The sequence below is a fragment of the Homo sapiens genome, chromosome 9, assembly GCF_000001405.40.
Source record: "Homo sapiens chromosome 9, GRCh38.p14 Primary Assembly".
NCBI classification, from domain to species: domain Eukaryota; kingdom Metazoa; phylum Chordata; class Mammalia; order Primates; family Hominidae; genus Homo; species Homo sapiens.
In genome coordinates this window covers 95,188,402-95,207,819 of record NC_000009.12, presented here as the reverse complement: position 1 = coordinate 95,207,819, position 19,418 = coordinate 95,188,402, and the positions used below count along the sequence as shown (strand labels likewise).

The window sequence follows — 19,418 nt, the reverse complement described above, 5'->3', positions numbered from 1 at the left end:
GTTATATTAAGCCTCTAAACAAACTGCTTTATGGCTCCAGCAGCTTTGTGTTGTTTCTTATCTTTGTAACATTTTGCCACAGGTACAGTATATAATGAAATAGGTGGGGGTGGCTAGTGGAGAGGTTGTAACACTGTCAATGAGAAGGCACCCGGGATTTGTCCGTCTGACCTGCTCAGTCAGAGTAGTGGAGCCACCCGGAGTTCTAGGGAGCATCAGTCTAGGAGGGAGATGGGCAATGTTGCATCTCCTGGAGGCCAGCACAGTTCAAAGTTGGTTTTCTGAGTCTCGGTCTTGTGGTTTTAGGATTTTATGGCTTTTGGTGGGTATGTTTGGGAAGGAAGAGCCTTCATTCCTTGCTTAACCTGTGCAAATAATCTTCAAGGACTTTGATCACTGGGCAGAGGGATAGGAGACTGCCATCTGTCCTCCAGATGAAAGGTTTCTTCTTGGCAGGAGCACTACAGAGATGGAAGTTGTGATTTTTTGGTTGTTTTGACTTTATGCTTCTAGAAAGGATCTTTTAAAAAATTCTTATAGCTCTTTTGTTTTCTTTTCTTCTTTATGGTTTCTTTCCTTTTTAGTGATAGAAGCTGTGGCCAGCTCTTCATGTGAGTTCACCCACTTGCCCCTCCCAAGGCAGGCACCCTGATATAGACCAGTTTAGGTGGAGGTTTAGGGTCTTCCTTGCTCACCTTTGAGCCAGGCTGGGCTGCCAATTTCTGGCTGAGCTGACTTGACCTTTAAAAAAAACAAACTTGATATTATCTTGGCTCCTACAGAGAAGACATGCAGTGTGGGGCTGGGGGCTGGGGGTGGAGCAGGGTTTGGTTGTACTCCCATTCATTAGTTCACCTCTTTTTCTGAGTTCCTATGCTGGGTATCCTGACTGACCCTTATACACTGTACCTGGGATAATGCTCCTGGAAAAGCATGTCTTTGCAACCCCATTACTGTCATCATGAACAAAATTAGAATGGAAAGCAAATTTTTGTTACAAAAAAAAGTTTAGGGGTAAACAGACCTGCAGATTTTTACAACTGCTATGTTTCTTGGTATTCTTCTGTGTGTTTAATCACTGGACAGATGTAAGGGTGAATTTTATTGTTCCCTTGGTGCATGTTTAACCTGTATCTTAGCTATCTGTTAAGGGGTTTAACTTGGGCTGTATATCTTCTTTAAGAGCTTGAAAGGGAATTTAGAGTGGCATATCTATTTTCATTGCAGCGTTAGATGTACGGTAAGTTAAGCCATTTTTGTGAAAATTGAAAGCGTAATGTTAAAAGTGTCCAGTTTTTTAGCCATTTGTGCACATTAAAAATAACTTGCTATTTATGTTCAGTGGTTTCCTTGTTAGACGATGTAGGGGACTTGCCACAACACATGCAACAGATTATAAAAAGACTGCAAATTTAATAATTACAACATGGCACAGACCGCGCTGGCAGATACCGAGATCCAGCACACTCTTTAATCATCATGCTTCCCATAGTGTGGGTGGTCATGGTCCGCAGACATTTCAGGCAGGCCAGTCCCGTTGCAAGAGCACAAGTAAACAGCATTCCACAGGCTTTTCAGGATTTTTAATTTGAAAAAGTATAGCATTTCTTTTAGGTTGCTTTTCCTTTCTCCTTCCTCCTTCTCCCGCCTCCTCCTCTAAATTTTCGTTGTTTAGAATGTTTGCTTTTTCAGCAAAACCTTTTTACATATGATGCTTTTGTGTATTTCTTTTTCCAGCTTTTATTTGGGGCAACAAAATAAAACATTTCTTAATACTCCTGAAGCCTGTTTCAGCACAAAAGCTGAAAATGACCGGTAGGATATTTTGCTCTTTGGAGAAGTTAGCAACTTTTCATTATAAGTCCTGGTAAATTGAATTTAATCAATTTATTTCCTTACTATTTTTTTAAAATTTAACTTTTACCGCTTGTTTCCTTTGATGTTTGTTTGATTAAATGAAAATTTGAGTCATCTGCAAAGTTTTTCTTCCTCATTCAAAAATGTTGTTCTTGCTAGCCTGTTTTGTTCTTCTACTTTCCATTTTTTTGAAGCTTTTATGATCTTAGTCTTTAATGTTAATGAATATTGATAAAAGAAGCAAGTCACTAGTTTTTGTTGATTAATGAGAATTATGGAGTTTAGTAAAGCTCTTGGTTAGTTTCTCTCGGGAGGAGTTATTTTAAGTAATAAATGTGTACAAATGGAAATGTATCATTCCGAAGCTTTAACATTTTCTCTGAAAGTGTTTTTTTTTTTTAAAGAAAAACTTGGAAAAACACAGATATTTTAATAAAGAACAGTTAATATTACAGATGCGCACCTTTCTCTTCTTTCCTTCCCTAGGGATTTCCTTAAGGGATGCTGTCTTGTTGCTTTAAATTATAGACACTGTTCCTAGTCTTCATATATATAATTAAAGACAGTTGTCAAGTTTTTTAAAATATAAAATATGACATCTTAGCTGCTATTTTATATAGGCACACATAATTGAGTAAAAGAACTATGTAAAAAAATACTTTAAATGTATATATCATAAGATACAGTCCTTACTAAAGTCATAGTATACTATACCTTTTTTTACATAAGCTGATTAAAAATGAATTGCTAACAATTAGAATTTATAATGACATTGTCAAAACCAGCTTAAAGAGAAAGTGGTGTGATTATACATTTTAGAAGGAATAACTTCCTTTTACAATCATACCTGTATAGAATGCAGTGCTATACATAATTTTTGGAGTTTTGTTATTGTTCATGAAAGCATTTTAAAAATGCTTTAGTCATTTTCATTTGTGATAAAGCTAATCTAATTCTCTATTCTGATGCTTCTTGCCAAGCTTTAGATCATAACAGCTTAATTTAAGACAAAAATTGCTGGCTAATCCCCTTTGGTATTTTGAAGCTATTTTGGGCTCCCTTTGTTCTATGGTACGTTCCATTCTGTTTATGGGGAGCCATCGGGTGTTTGATGTGGGACCCTGTGGCAGAGGAGATTGGAACTCCAGAGTCTGGGTGCAACTGGGACAAGTTAAGGATGCTGAATTTAACTTGCTCTTGGATTTGTGTTTCTTCTATATAAATTGAAGGATTACATTTAATTTTAGATGGAGTAGGGGTAAGGCAGATTGGGTTTGATTTTCGAAGTCAACATTTGGAGTTTGGTAACCATATCAAAAGCGAGGATTTTGACAGATTTAATTTTCATATTACTGGTTAACATATACTTATGACTAAGTGTTTAGTCTCCCCTTTCCTGAGCTTCCTGATGGGTGTCAGATTTGCATTAAGACACCAAGGCCAACCCGCCTACACACAAAAATTGTGTTTTGAAAGTTCTTAATCCCTCATTTCAGACTCATGTTGTGGTTCCCACCAAGTGGGCTGCCTGAGACCCAGTGGAAGTTTAGCAGATTTCTATTCACAGGCATGCTCTCAGAACATCTCCCAGTTACCAATGCCTAATTAATGTCCTTGTGATGGATATCCATGGGTCTATATAGATGAAGCTTCTTGAACTCCATTCATAAAACAGATATATAGCCATATAATAGACATGAGTAATGGACGCCTAGAAGACTAAATGTTCTATGTATTGTTTTTTGTGGTTCCTTCAGTGAAATTAAAGGATCAATGTTTTACGTAAGTTTAAACTACTATTGTTGAAATTATTTTACTTTCCTGGCCTTTTGTCTATAAAGAACACATTAGCATATACTAACCGTGTCTTATTATTGGACACAGTGCTTCTTTGCTCCTGGGGATATTTACAGTTATCCCCTCCACTCTGTCCTAAGTGTAAGTATACATTGTTGTGTTTTTGTGTTATAGATTAACAGCTCTGAAAATGTGGTCCAAGGACTCTGGGGTCTTCAAGACTATTTCAGGAGGCCTACAAGGTCCTCCCTTTTCCAGCTATGTAATTTTATTATGCTGGATTTTCTTTATAAATTGAACTAAAGCAACATATCACAACAGATTGAATGCCGCAACAGATAGGAGAACACAGCTGTCTTCTATTGAGACAAACATTAAAGAGATTTGCAAAAAAATGTAAAACAGTGCCACTCAAAATTTTTTGTTTTGTTTTGGAAAACATATTTTTTCATAAATAATATTTTTGTTAACATGTAAAGGGTTATTATCTCATATTAATTACTAGATAAATATTTTAAATTTTTCTGAGGCTTGATTACAAGTACAGTAAATAGTGATAGGTAAAACCAAAATAAAAAGTGCTTTGGGATCCCAAGACCAGAAAACTTAAGAACTGCTAATATATACAATTGGGATTATTGCTGTGGTTCTAAAATCAAACTTCCATTGGCTTCTCTGAGAGTTTTAGCCAAGTGAGCATATAAAATGTAGTGAAATTAGCCTGCGGTTACGAGGTTTTAATGAACTGTCTCCTTCACATTTTCAGGTGTTTTTTTTTTTTTTTTTTGAGACAGGGTCTTGTTCTGTCACCCAGCCACGAGGCTGAAGTGCCCTCCAGCTCTGGGCTCAAGCGATCCTTCCACCTCAGCCTTCCAAGTAGCTGGAACCACAGGCACATGCCACCATGCCCAGCTATATTTTTGTATTTTTTTGTAAAGATGGGGTCTTGCTATGTTGCCCAGGCTGGTCTTGAACTCCTGAGCTCAAGTGATCTGCCCACTTCAGCCTCCCAAAGTTCTGGGATTACAAAGTGGCATGAGCCACTGTGCCTGGCCTCATGTGTCTTTTTATAAATAAATTATCAAGCAAAGCTGCCACTGTCCTCTTGTAAATTTAATAAGGAGTCATAGGTTTTAGAGTTATGATCCCTTTTACTTATTTAGCTGATATTTCTTTGCAGTTTGACATAATCTGGACCCATCTGAATTGTAATATGTGACTTTTAACAAACATTGTAGATTACCATCTTTCATATGTGATCTCATGCCATTCATGGAATCTATGGCAATTTCAGTAAGGATAGAACTCATCATTCTTGTGTATACTTGGGATGTTTCTAACCACATTTGCCTCAGTTACCTAATATTTTTTGCTTTTCAATTGATTTCTAGTTTGGGGATGAAGAAGAAAAAGAATGTAACTGGCAAAATAGCCATTATTTTTTGCCTTTATTCTTATTTCACACTTTCTATTTTTAGTTTATCTTGCTTTGTAACCAATCCTTTAGAATGTAATTACTTCTTAATTGGAAGGGGCTAACTGCCCCACAGAAGAAACTTCTGTAATTAGAAAAAGAGTCCCATAACATCTGATCTGGTTCTTTCGCCCTGAGCATATTTGTTGGCAATTTATGGCAAGGTTGACTCACTGGTGGGAAGCTGCCTCACTCCTAACCTGTGCTAGAAAAGCTGCCTCGTTCTAGAGGCAGCCCTGCCCCTGTTAAGCCCAGTTCTGCTGCCTCACTCCTAACCTGTGCTAGAAAAGCTGGCTCTTTCTAGAGGCAGTCCTGCCCCCTGTTAAGCCCAGTTCTGCTGCCTCACTCCTAACCTGTGCTAGAAAAGCTGGCTCTTTCTAGAGGCAGCCCTGCCCCGTTAAGCCCAGTTCCCTCTGCCCTGGCATCTCCACCTCTACTGGGGCAGTTTCCCCAGTTCTCTTCCCAGCCAGCAGCACCCCTGGAGCCTTCCTTTTAGTCTCCGGTCACATGAGTGAAGAGGAAATTTTCCTCCTTCTCCGAGCTTAATACAGCAGTTTTATATATTTAACATTGTAGGTGATTTGCATGGCAATGAGCTTATTAGGCTGTTTTTTGAGTGCTGCCAAACACCTAATTGATTTTTTCAGTTTTCTTCCAAGATTATAGTTGTCAAGAACCATCTGCCTTATATATTACATTAAATGGGTTAAAGCTGCAAATGCTTCTTTAAGCAAAATATAAGTGTGTATCTTATAGAAAGTAATGCAATATCACCAGTCTGAGGTTTGGAGTGTATTAAGGTACTTGGTTTCTGGAAATCTTTTTAAGCTTGGAAACCTTTAAACCTGCGACTTAAAAAAGGATCTACAGCTATCTAAGTAGGTGGCCTTCTGTGTCTTGGCTAGTTTTAGAGTGTGGTGTTTGTTTCTTACGCAAAAAGGAACAAATTTAAATCACTAGGTACTCAACCAACAGATTTCAGTGTGGATTAGTTAAGAAATAATTGTAGTTCTTGTGTGGTGGCACAAATTTTTTTCCCTACATTTTGTTTATGCAGACTGTCTTTTTTTCCTTCATCCTTTTCTTTTTTTCACTGAAAAAGGAAATCGCAATTTTGTTAGTGGATTGCTTTGAAGAAAATACGGAGGGAAAGAGAGAACCAGACTTGACTTGTGATTACTTTTCATGAGTGTGGATAAGTGTGGGCTTCAAGACTTGCCAGGCCTTCAATTCTTTGGCTTGCTTTTTTTCTTAACATTTCCAAAGGTTTTGTTAGTGACTTTCAAATGGAACTTCACGCCTTGGAACAGTTCCATTAAAAAGTTGTGTGGTGTTAGCCACAGTAGCAGCATGGTTTATTTTTCCTGTACTAGTTTCACAGAGGTTAACTGAGCTGGAAATGATGAGAGACTAGCAGTGCAAGCGGGTGGGTGTGTGCTATGTGTATGCTTTTTCCCTCTTGATTTGTGCAAAAAAAAAAATTTTTTTTATTGGCATTAACGTGTACTTCAAATGTTGTTTAAAAAGGAAGCAAGTCAAATTATCCTAAAATGCTTTATACTACATTGTTGAAAACTTTCAAAAATGTTCTCTTTTGTTAATTGTATTTTTACATTGCATAGTACCAGCCCACATTTATAAAAGGCAATTCATTATAGAGATTTGCTTTCTTGATGGGAAATGTACTACAGTTTACAGCTCAGCATAATCTTAGTTGACGTGTTCTGGAGAGTGCTTTTTATCTGTCTGAATTTAAAAGAACACTTGACTATGTTCATGATTGAGACGGTTTTATTCCTGGTTCAAATAAATATCTTGAAGTTAAAATATGCGCCTTTTATTCCTTAGGTGAGTATATTTTTTAAGAAAACATGGTCTGTTATTTATATGTCATCCGCTTGTTATATGCATAAGTTACTTGAAGAATAGTGAATTTCTAATGAAAATAACAATTACATTAATACTTTAGATTTTAATGCTGTTTTGTAAATTTTGAAGCAAATTCATATATCTCATTTAATTCTCACAACAACCTCATGATACCCCAGGGCAGATATAATTATCTCCATGTTATAGATGAGATGAGAAATGTAAGGCATTTGCCTGAAATTCCCCATTTGGTAAATGAAGGAGCTGGATCAAGTCCTCACATCCCTGACTCTGCTGTTCGTCTTGCCACTCTCCCGTAAACAGCTGCTTAGACCTCCTTGATAGTTTACACCATGGCTTGTGGATGGACAACTGCCATAAAATTGTTTATAACACACACTTATTGACTGCTTACAAAGTTTCGCACATTTTGAAATGAGACTTACCCCAATTAATTCCCTCACCAACTCTCTGAGTTAGGAACTATTATTATATCCCTATTTTGTGGTTGAGAAAACTCAGGTTCATTAGATAGGTGAGTTGAGCTTCCTAGGGTAATGTAGCCAGTAAGTGGTGGGTACTAATGTGAACCCCAGCAGCTTTGCTCTGAGATCCAGGGTCCCTGACTGCTACCGTGCATGAACTCCCAGTGGTTCATGTGCCGGATTTTCAAACGCCAGGTATTCACTGGTATTTGTAATAGCATCTGTTTGCATTCATCTGTAATCTTGAAGATCTGACCATGAAAACTTAGAAATGAGAGGTTTATCCTCTGAATTTACACCGAAATAAAAGAAAAATTTTAAATATAAAATACATATTATTATCAGTAGCTATACTGCATGGAGCAGATAGCTACTAACTTGTATAAATCATCCTAAAAATAAGATAAGTGTTTATTAAGAAACAAAGAAGGTTCATATAAGCTGGGGAAATTTTTTTTATCTAATAAATGTCCTCTCTGTTGTATAGAGGGTTCTTAAAATGTAAAACTTTTGGGGAGAAATGAAGTATGAAAGGTTTCACCTAAACAGCAGAGCCATTGTACCAAGGCGAATGTATATACCTTTCAGAACTCTGGAAGTCACTACTGTAAACACTCATCCTTGGACTGGAAACCAGGAGCCTCTGGTGGTAGTTTTTTCTCTGTTCCCCCACCCCTCCATTCAACAAATGGAATGCCTGTGTGCGCTGGGCACTGTCTGTGCTGTGCTGGGCACACAGTGGTGCTCAGATGGTTCAGGAGGCAAACAGCCATCAGTCAGTACTTCCTTAGACCGAGAGACCACGCCCTGGGAGAAGGGTGGCTAGTTAGGTCATGGCAAACGGACATGAGGTGGTCTTGCTGGAGCTGACACCGGAAGAGCAATTCGGGCTTTAGTAGGTGAGGAGAGGGAAGGGGATGTAGGAGGTGAGCAGAACGCACTGGGAGGAGGCATGGTGAGTAGGAGGGGCCCAAGGAGGCAGAGAGGGCTGTGGGTGCAGGGTGGGGCTGCAGGGTGGGGCTGCAGAGTCAATCCTGGGAAGGCTTCTCTATATCTAAGCAGCAGCAGGAGGAAAGGATTTTAAGTACTAGGGGTGAGGTGGGGGGCTTCGAAAACTGGCCAGAGTGCAGTCTGTGGAACAGATTGTTTTAAGGATTTGATACATGGCAAGGTCTAAACCCATTCAGATCCAACACCGGTTTTTAATAACAGATGTTTTATAATACCTGGTTGGAGATCCTGAAATGAAATTCAAAATACTCTTTCAAAAAAAATTCATATATTGCCTTTACTACAATATAAAGAAAACTAGGTCAGGCACAGTAGCTCACACCTGTAATCTCAGTACTGCAAGAGGATCACTTGAGCCCAGGAGTTCCTGGCCAGCCTGGGCAACATAGCGACACCCTGGCTCTACAAAAAAAGTTTAAAAGTTAGCCAGGTATGCTGGCGCACACCTGTTGTCCTAGCTACTTGGGAGGCTGAGGCGGGAGGATCACCTGAGCCCAGGAGGTGGAGGCTGTAATAAGCTGTAATGGCGCCACTGCACTCCAGTCTGGACCTGTTTCTAGTAAGACTCTGTCTCCCCTCCCCCACACACACAAAAAAAATTTTAATAAGATAATGTACATTTCCAGTGTAAATACTTGGGTCTTATGAGACTGGGAGACATCATGAACGGATGCATGCATCTACACATGGGCTCTCTGAGAATGTGACCACTGCAAATTCAGGCTGTTAGAGGAGGGCCTCATGTGGCCTTGCCTTCCAGGAGGTGATTTTCCAAAACGATAGACAACTCTTGATAATGCTATGATGAAACTGCTGTAAAATCTTCCCTGACCAACAGGGTAATTACATTTTCAGAGAAGTCAGAGGATGCCAGAACATGCAAAACATATTTTGTATTTCTATGTAAAACAGCTTTAGGCTCTAAAAGAAGGTTCCACATACATGATGATACAGTGGAACGTCTGAAAATTGTGTGTGACAGTTTGCTATTATATGGTATATTTCTAGTTTTCCTTAACCACTAAATGCCAGTAAAGCCACAAAAATGTTTTAATAGCAGATTAGTGGATTTTGAATTGGCCCCATCAAGAGTCACTGTTGTGTTCTATAGCCCTTTCCCACCTAAGTCCCAAGCTAAAGACAGTGAATTGTGGTAGCATTTCAGAAATTCCATCTCCACTAGCTGCTGGGTCATGACGTGTGTCTCACTCCTGCGAGTGCTGGCTTAGGGGCCTTTAACACCTCTGAGCCAAGACTCTGGCATGGAGCCCTTTGCCCATCCTAGGAGTCTTGAGTCTCAACCCGTGATTATATTCTTGATTGTAGACCTTCTCCCCTGATGAGATCAACCCTTTCTCTAGGGACTCCTGGAATTTGGCCACTGATGCCTACTTGACTACTATTTTTGGGTCCTGTGGGGACCTCTGCTGTGTTGTTCCACCCACTCAGAAGGGCTTTTTGGATGGCTTCATCAGTTCAGAACATGTCCAGGCTTGAGACTTTGTTTCTTGGCCTTCTGCCTGGTAACTCCTTTATGTCAACTCAGGGCTTGGCATCTTGGCTGCAGCAGCAGTAGAAGGTCCTCTTGGGCCCAGCACCACTGGCCTTCCTCAGGAGTCAGCTCTGCAATTTAACTAACAAGCCACGATTCCTGCAGACTGTGAGGGCCATGTGCAAGATAAGCATGATGACAGGGCTAGATGCACAGTACCTGGCAGAGAAAGCTTTCAGTACGTCTCAACTATAACTACCATACAGTTCCTTTATTATATTGGGGTTTGTTTGTTTGTGACGGGGTCTGATTCTTTCACCCAGGCTGGAGTGCAGTGGCACAATCATGGCTCATTGTAGCCTTGACCTCCCAGACCCAAGCAGTCCTCCAACCTCAGCTTCTCAAGTAGTTGGGACTACAGATGCGTGCCACCATACCCGGCTAATTTAAAAAGTTTTTTTGTAAAGACAGGGTCTCCCTTTGTTACCCAGGCTGGTCTGGAACTTCTGGGCTCAAACAGTCCTCCTACCTCGGCCTCTCAAGGTGCTGGGATTACAGGTGTGAGCCACTGCACTTGGCTATAGTTGGCTTTTTTAACTTGAGGACCTTGGGCCCTGGTGTTCATGGATGGGCTTCAAAGGGTCAGAAAACTCCATGAAATTGTGTGGAAATATTGTAGGCATATATAGTTTTCCTGGAAGAGGGTTCACAACTTTCATCAGGTACTCAGGATAGGTCATGAGGGACTTCTGTTTTTAGCAATTGCAAACTCAGAAATCAAGTGACACCTCCTCCTAAGGATGAGAAAACTCAGACTAAATATGAAAAATATGCTTCAAAGCTTGAAAAAGCTCATGATATAGTAAATATGTTCTCAGTCAGAGTCCAGGGAAAGGTAGAGGCCACAGGAGGTGAGCCTATGGTTTAGGACTAGGGGTGTCTGCCAGTTACAAAGGAGACGATTAAGCAGCAAGGTGCTTTTGGAGCATCACAGGACTAGGAGGGCAGAAATTAGAGTCCGTGGTCTGCCAACTGAGCACATCCTGGTGAACCTTTTACTTGAGGTTGGGATCTTGAAGGGAAGCACCTGAAGAGTAAATGTGAACCGAAGCAGACAGGCCCTCAGAGAGTGTGCAGTTTACCCTCAGATCATCTCAGTCACTGACCCTGGATTAGGGTAATCCTGGATTGCTAGTGATTCAGGTGTGACAGAAGCCTCTTTGGAGGACGACAATATTATCTTGGTATCTCAAATTATTTCTGCCAGCAGTTTTGCAAGTGTAGTGTCGTGTCTGGTGTAGATAAAAATAACTAGGTATACAAAGAGCCAGGATAACAAAATTGAATCAGTAGAAATAGCAGACAATAAAACAGACACATAGGGGCTCCAGATATTAGCGTTAAGACTCAGACTTTAAAATATTATAAATCAATCAGTGTAATCCACCATATTAAAGAAGAAAAAGCATGTGATTATATCAATTGATGCAGGAAAAATGCATTTAATAAGATCCAATACCTATTCATGATTTAAAAAAAAAATCTCCCAATAAATTAATAGTGGGGAATTACCTCAACTTCATAAAGGGCACCTCCCAAACACGTAGAGTGAATATCATATTTAATAGTGAAAGATTGAATACTTCCCCCCAAGACCAGAAACAAGGCAAGGAGATTCGTTCTTATAACACTGGAAGTTCAAGACACTGTTATCAGTCAAGAAAAAGAAATAAAAGGCCTGCATATTGTAAAGGAAGAAAAACCATTGCTATTTGCAAATGATATAATCGTTTACATAGAATATCTTAAAGAATCTACCAAAAACCAAAATAAATCAATTGTTAGAATTGATAAATCAGGTCAGCAGAGCTGCAGGATACAAGATCAACACACAACAGTCAACTCCATCTCCGTATACTATCAATGAACATTTGAAAACCAAAACTAAAAACACAATATATTTTAGAGTCACTCCAAAGAAAATAAAATACTTAGGTATATACATAACAAAATGGGATCTGTTTAATGAAAGTTACAAAGTGCTGATGAAATAAATGCTTAAAGACTGAAATAAATGGAGAGATATTTAGTGATGATGCATTGAAGACTCAACTTAGTAAAGATGTCAGTTCTTCTCAAATTGATCTATAACTTTAAAGCATTTCCTATCAAAATTCTAGCAAGGCTTTTTATATTCATAGGCAGACTTATTCTAGAATTTATAGGGAAAAGCACAAGCCCTAGAATAGCTATAACAATTTTGACAAGAAAACGGGGAGAAATCACTGTATTTAATACTAAGTCTTTACTGTGATAGCTGCAATAATTAGATCCTGTGATATTGACAGAGGCGTGGACACATAGATGAATGGAACAGAACAGAGAACCTGGAAATAGACCCACACAAATAAGTTCAACTGGTTTTTGACAAAGGTACAGAAGCAATTCAATGGAGAAATTTCAACAAATGGTGCTTTTGCAGTTGGACATCAACCTAAACCTCACAACTTATACAAAAATTAACTCAAATGGATCAGGGATTTAAATGTAAAATGTAAAACTATAAAACTTTTCAAAAAAAAAAAAAAAGGCTCTGGAACTAGGCATAGTTGGTTTTTTTTTTTTTTTTTTTTTTTTTGAGACGGAGTCTCACTCTGTTGCCAGGCTGGAGTGCAGTGGCGCCATCTTGGCTCACTGCAACCTCTGCCTCCCGGGTTCAAGTGATTCTCTTGCCTCAGCCTCCCAAGTAGCTGGGACTGCAGGCACGTGCCACCACGCCAAGCTAATTTTTGTATTTTTAGTAGAGACGGGGTTTCACCATGTTGGCCAGGCTGGTCTCCATCTCCTGACCTCGTGATCTGTCTGCCTCAGCCTCCCAAAGTGCTGGGATTACAGGCGTGAGCCACCAAGCCTGGCCAAACTAGGCATAGTTTCTATACTTGCTACCCCAAGCATAATATGTAAAAAGAAAAATCAACTGTGTTAGGACCTCATCAAAACTAAAACCTTGTGTTCTGTGAAAGCCCACGTGAAGGACAATGGCAGACTGGGAGGAGATATTTGCAAGCCACAAATAACAAAGGACTAGTATCTAGATAATCAAGAAATCTCAAAACTCAATGGTAAAAAACAACCCAGTTAGAAAATGGGCAAACACTATTTCACGAAAAGGTGAAATAAGTTCATGAGCAAAAAAAAAATGGCAAATAAACACATGACAAGATATTTCACATCATTAGCCATTGGGGAAGTGAAAAAATAAAACCACAGTGGGCTATCACTACGCACCTATCAAATGGCTAAAATAAAAGCCAGCGAGAACTTAAAATGCTGGTGAAGATGTGGAGGAACTGCGTTACTCATGCATTTTTGGTAGGAACATGGCTGTGGATAGTTTTGTACCCAAGGCAAATGCTCTCCTGCATCTTCTTAGTGCCAGCCTTGACAGGCTGCTTGTTGACTTCTTACAGAAGTAATGGAAGCCAGGAGACAGTGTAATGATATCTTCAAATTCATGGGGGTGGAGGAATCCATTAAAAATGAGACATTTTAGGTAAACGAAAAGTAGGAGAATTTGTCACCAGCAGAGCTCCACAAAGGGAGTACTAAGACTGTTCTTCAAGCAGAAGGAAAATGACCAAAGTAATCCTCCATCTCCAAAAATATACGAAATTTAATTAATCTAGTTTCCATGCTCTGCCTGGCCCAGTGAGTTTTGGCCCTGGCTGCACATCAGAATTACCAATGGAATTTAAAAAAAAACACAACCCTCTATATCCTTCTTCAGTTGGTTTGGTGTATGGCTCAGGGTCACTAATGGTACTGGTGTGCAGCCTTGGAAGTAACAGGGTGGACTCAGAAGGAGAGAAGAAAGTGGTGTCATGGCTTAAATGGAACACACTGTCCTCCTGGTTCCTGGGCCTCACCTTTATGCCTGGTATGTCTTCCTGTGGCAGCATTCGTTCTGGCTAGGCTGAAATGACCCTCCGTAGCTCTGAGTTCTCCCTCTTTTGCTCCAGTGAGCACCAAATCCCGTCTATCACACCTGTGTGGTATTTCACACTTTTATCCTTTTCTCTTCATTGCCATTGCCGCCCTTGCAATTTGGGCACCCTTTACATTTTGACTGTGATAGCTGGTCAGTGGCAAAAACCGCAGTTACTTTTGCACCAACCTGTAGTATCTCAGTTTCCAATGTCATCTTCCTCTTTCAGTTTGTCTTGCACAGTCTTACCAACCCAATTTTTGTAAAGCATAACTCATGCTACTGCCCCATTTAGAGACATTTTTAGTGCTCCCCTCCCCAATGTTCACAAAATAATCTCAAATTTAATACTTTTGAAAACAAAATCAAGTTGTTTACCTATTGAATACCCTTTGATCACACCCACGGCTCCTGTTACCACAGCATACAGGATGCGACATGATTGGAGGTCTGTTTCGTCTCCACCCTCATCTCATAGCACTCCTTCTTCTGCTCGCCATGGCCTAGCTAGAGTCTGGGTTTTTCCTTGCCTTTGGGCTGAACTTGCCGATTACTCCACAAGCTGTTTGCATGCTCTTTTCTTACCTTTCAGGTCTTGATCCCATGCTTAGTCTTTGGAGTAGCGCCCCCTTGCTTATCTAAAGTGAATCGTATCCATTTCTAATCTAATCAGCATGCTCTTCATTTCTTTTATTGTTGGTCATCTTCATCTTGTTGACTTCTATATGTGTTCGTTGCCTCTTCCCTTTTCCCTCACTGGAATGTAAACCCCTTGAAGGCAGCCACCTCAACTCTTGTTGGCTGCTACATCTCCAAAGCCAGGTACATAGGAGGTGCTCAATAAATATCCCCTAATCTATTTTGAATATAGATACACTATAGTAAAGATTTTATAACAAAGGAACTTTCTGACAAGAGAATCTTGTTTGTTCAGTGATTTGGACAATGTAGTACTATGTAGTTGGTTATTGAAATTCTGCCTGTTCCCATTCTTACATGTAACCTTTGGATGAATGAAGGGCAGGAAATGTGGTAGGAAATGAAACCGTATAGGAAAAAGCTGATGTCTAGGTTGGACAAAGAAGCTGGAAATAGAATTCTGTCATTTCTGCAAGATCCAAGAGTCTCTACTTTGACTATACCTTTATGTCTCTGAAATTTCTGTAATCTTTTTCTGTTGCTTCAATAATAGTAATTTTAAAAATTTGATAGTCAAATTCCAGGTACTGTTTTTAAAGGGACATTTCTAGAGACGTTATATTTAATAACATATTTGAATGGTGTTCTATAGTTTGTTCATTCGTAATTGCGTTGAACAGCTCCCTGTGAAAAATGTTATATCCTCACTTTGAAAATGAGAAAAGTGAGGCCCTAAATGTTAAGAAACATTTAAAAAGCTAGTTAAGTTGGGAAACTGGGACTGAGGTCTTTGAATGTCTAATCCAGTTTCTGTGTCACTACTGGGTTTCCCATCCCTGGGGCGTCAAGTTTCAACTGAAAGTACCTGTGGCAGGAACTGGAGATGTAACAGACTTGCTTGTCTCTCAAATCTGGGAACAAGTGAAGGTGACTACCACCAGGTCACCTTCACATAGCAACACGATGTCTACCTGGTGATGTCCTTGGTCGTTGTCCCTGCTCCTCCTGTCGTTGGTCCCAGCAGATGTAGTTGTCCAGCTTGACATGGCTGAAGCACCGTGGGAATCGATTTTAGATATCACATCCAAGGTGTTCCTCCCATTGTTCCCTGCATCTTCATTCTTAAAAAGGAAATAAGTCTCATCAAAAGTATTACTGCATTCAGAACAACTCACATTTCTTACTCATAAAAATTGTTTTGGCCTTAAGAGAGATATGTCCTAACATTCCCTCCTCTTGCTGCCTTATGGAAAATGGATCTCGGGGGAGGAAGCAAGAATAAAATGAGAAAAACGAGACTGGAGGCTGTGACAGCATGCAGGTGAGAGATCATGGTGGCTGGGATCACGGTGAAAGCAGTGCCCTGGAGAGAAGCAGACCTATCCAGAGTGTAGTTGAGCTGTAATTGGCAGGACTTGCAGATGGGCTGCGTATGGAGGATGAGGGAGAGGATTTGAAGGATGAGTCGAAGGTAACATCTAAAATGTTGACTGGAGCAACCATGTGGTTGGTAGAATCATGTTCTTGGGTGGCAAAGATGAAAAAGGGGCTTGGGGATGGCTGGGCTAAGAATCTTAGTTGTGTTAAATTTGAGATACCAATTGCACAGTTGCAGATGTCAGGCAAGCTAGTTGCATATATGATCTGGAGCATAGGAGAGATGGCAGGGCTGGAACTAGAATTTTGGAAGGTGTGGTCACCCTATAGAAGTAGGATGCTGGCCAGGTGTGGTAGCCCATGCCTGTAATTCCAGCACTTTGGGAGGCAAGAGGATTGCTTGAGCTGAGGAAGTCTTGGCTGCAGTGAACCAAGATCACACCACTGCACTCCATCCTGGGAAACAGTGAGACCCTGTCTCAAAAAAAAAAAAAAAAAAAAAAAAAGGAAGTAGGATGGTGACTGGGGCTGGGCTGGGCTGGGCTGGGCTGGGCCTTGTGAGGTTTGAACCCCACCCTGGGCCATAGGAGGGAGCACTCAGGCTTTCTTAGTCTTCTGTTGACCTGCCCAGATGCAAGGCCGAAGGGGAAGTTGGCCTGGAGTTCAGTCTTTTATGACAGAAGACCCCAGCATAGAAATGGCATCCACAATCATGGGACTGTACAAAATCTCATGGTCTTGAAAGCCACTGTCCTGACACCTCAAGACTGGAGTCCAGCCCTTCATGACAGAAGACCTCAGCATAGAAATGGCATCCAAAATCCCGGGACTATACAAAATCTCTTGGGGTGCAACCTTTGTGACAGAAGACCCCAGCACAGAAATGGCATCCAAAACCACGGGACTATACAAAATTTCCTGGAGTCCAGCCCTTCATGACAGAAGACCTCAGCATAGAAATGGCATCTAAAATCATGGGACTGTACAAAATCTCCTGGGGATCACTTGAGCTCCCAGGTCTCCAGTGTCTAAAAATGGGGTTGAAGAGAAAGTACCAGCTAAGTTAGACTAGATGAAAAGAAAAATGTGTAGCATGCGGTGTACCAGCAGCAGAAACCAGGGCCACCCTGCTGACCTGCTCTGGTCTCACCCACACAGTGCCAGGGCGGGCAGTGTGTGTGCATCCTGGAGATGTACAGGTGCAGCCCTGGGGGAGAGGCAGCCCAGGGCACCGCTGAGTGGGCAAGCAAGAGGGTGCAGGGGTGGATCCCACGGTTTGTAGCATGGAGTTCTGACTGGTGAACTGGTAGGGATAGAAGCCAGATTAGAGAAGCCTGAAGAATGAATGTGAGTTGCAGAAGCAAAGAAGGCAAGTTTAGACAGCTTTCTCAGGAAATTGTGCTAAATGCAGAACACAGAGATGAGGAGTAATTAGAAGGAGGGAGAGGTAGGATCAAGGAGAACTTTTTTCTTTTTAATCTAGGTAGCTCTTCTAGCATGTTTGTAATTGACATGAGAAATCCAGCAATGACGCGGGTCACTGCTGCGGAGGGTCCTGGCGAGGTAGGAGTGGAGGTGATCAGGGCCCAAGTGGACAGCTGCACTTTATAGGAGCAGAGACACTCCTTCCATCTGAACAGGAGGGAAGACAGGACATGGGGGGTGTGCGTGTGCAGGTGAGCTTGTAAATTGGTTAAATTGGTTGGTGGTGAGATGAGTGAGTTTCTTGCTAATTGCTATTTTCTCAACTACATATGAGATGAGCTCCTCACCAGGACTTTTGGGGAAGGGGTGGTGGTGTGATGAGAGAGGAAGCAGGAAATAATTACTCAGGAAGTGGCCAAGCAAAATGACCAAGGATGCATAAGAAGATTGTGAGGCACTGCTGAGCCCCTTCCCTTCAAGGGTTGTGGTCAGAAATCCAAGCCAACGCTGTCAGCTCAGTTGTCTGATATTCTCCAGCAGTGTTCAGCTGTGTGGGCACCAGGAAGAAAAGCTGCAGCATGGATTCACAAGGGCCAAGGTTTTACACAGCAAGTACCACTGGACTTTAGAAAAGGGGGCAAGCCAGGGAGATGAGGGTGTTTTCAAAGGGATGATTATTTAAGCCTGGCAGAATATTTATCAAATGCATGATCTGCTCCTAGTGAATGTATTTAGTAAAGCACACATTTCCAGGTCTGTGTATCTACATATTTCTGTATACATTCTTATAGATACGGTTTAATGCCATGGTTTCATTCAGGCTTATTTTCTAAAGCCTTTTGGTTTTGGTTTTTGGGAAGCCTACTCTATTTCCCCCCCCGGAACTAATGAGCGAGCAAGCAAGAGGTTCTGTAAGCAAAAGTAAAAGCTGCAGACTTTGTTATGGTTGGACCTGTGTGTGGAAATTCTGTGAATTGTGTTCTGTCAGCATCCTGCTCACGGAATAGGCTATGTAAACAACGGGCGCTGGGAGGGTCTGTGAATGAGCAGCCTTCCTTCCCACTCACAGACTTAACCACTGCAATTCTCCAGGTTTCTGAGTGTTTATTTCATAGTAAAAAGGGCTCTAAAAATACCAGGGCAGTTAGGTTTTTATTGTAGATCATTTCACTTAAACTGCAATGGGACATATAAATTTTAAAAAGGGAAAAAAAAAACATTGAAGGCAGGATTTTGAAGCAAAAGCTACAGAAATGTGTCTGCAGTAATTTGTTTTGGCTGTGGATGTAAAACTGCAAAAGGGATGGGAATAAATTTGTTCCATTTTTTTAAGTTAGAGCAATTGGCGTATTTAATTGATATTCACAGTATTTGAATAGCATCCCAGAATGCACAAATAATATGCTATCATGAGAAAATTACATATACTGAGATGTAAATGAAAGGAAATTCTTTTTTTGAACTTAAAATATCATTTGTAACTTATGTGTAATTTTTTAATTAAAAATCATAGGGCACATCATACTGTAAGTTTGAGTATGCAGAGTGAAATGAGAAAAGGATTCAGGCAGATTAGGCTTGAGGACAGGAGGCAAAGCCCCAAGAGTCAGTCCAGGTAGGGATTATAAATGGCAGGGTTCGGGAGGAGTGGACATAAAAATGCGAGAGAACAGGAAACTGCAGGAAGTAACAGTTAGTGGGAAACAAAGAGAGAAGTTACTGAGAAAACAGACACAAACACTGACGTGTTTCGGACTGCCATGTGACCACCACTGAAGGATGATAAGGTTTACTGAGTAGGAAGATTTGAAATTATGGACAGGAGCAATATGTACCAAGGAAAGCAAATATTTTGCTTTTCACTGGATGGAAATTTCTCCCTTCTAGGAACTCCTGACCTTCTTTATGGGACCAAGCAGTGTAAGTTGTAGGCTTGTGGTTCCTTCTGACTTCTTGTGTCTTCTCCCTAGGGGCAATGATGGTGCTGGGGTGTGATGTTTTCAGTAT

The 19,418-nt window shown here is 40.7% G+C and overlaps 1 protein-coding gene across 21 annotated transcripts in view, besides 1 other annotated feature; it reads left to right on the top strand.

Moving 5' to 3' along the window:
• The window catches only part of FANCC (FA complementation group C), a 218,656-nt gene that overhangs the window by 109,890 nt on the left and 89,348 nt on the right, over positions 1 to 19,418 (top strand). Inside the window, exon 1 of one of the 21 annotated variants that reach the window (XM_047422958.1) lies at positions 17,929 to 18,009. The exons of 19 other annotated variants lie outside the window; for them this stretch is intronic. The gene's annotated coding sequence lies outside the window, so the exon portion shown is untranslated. Of the gene's footprint in view, positions 1 to 17,928; positions 19,332 to 19,418 lie in introns of those variants that run through there. One more of the 21 variants, XM_047422957.1, reaches the window with a different exon arrangement.
• Positions 14,419 to 14,713: a silencer, noted in NCBI's record as "tiled region #1665; HepG2 Repressive non-DNase unmatched - State 13:Ctcf, and K562 Repressive non-DNase unmatched - State 13:Ctcf". NCBI's record gives its function as "represses a minimal TATA promoter and a strong SV40 promoter by Sharpr-MPRA in HepG2 and K562 cells {active_cell/tissue: HepG2 | K562}" and the evidence as "EXISTENCE:reporter gene assay evidence [ECO:0000049][PMID:27701403]".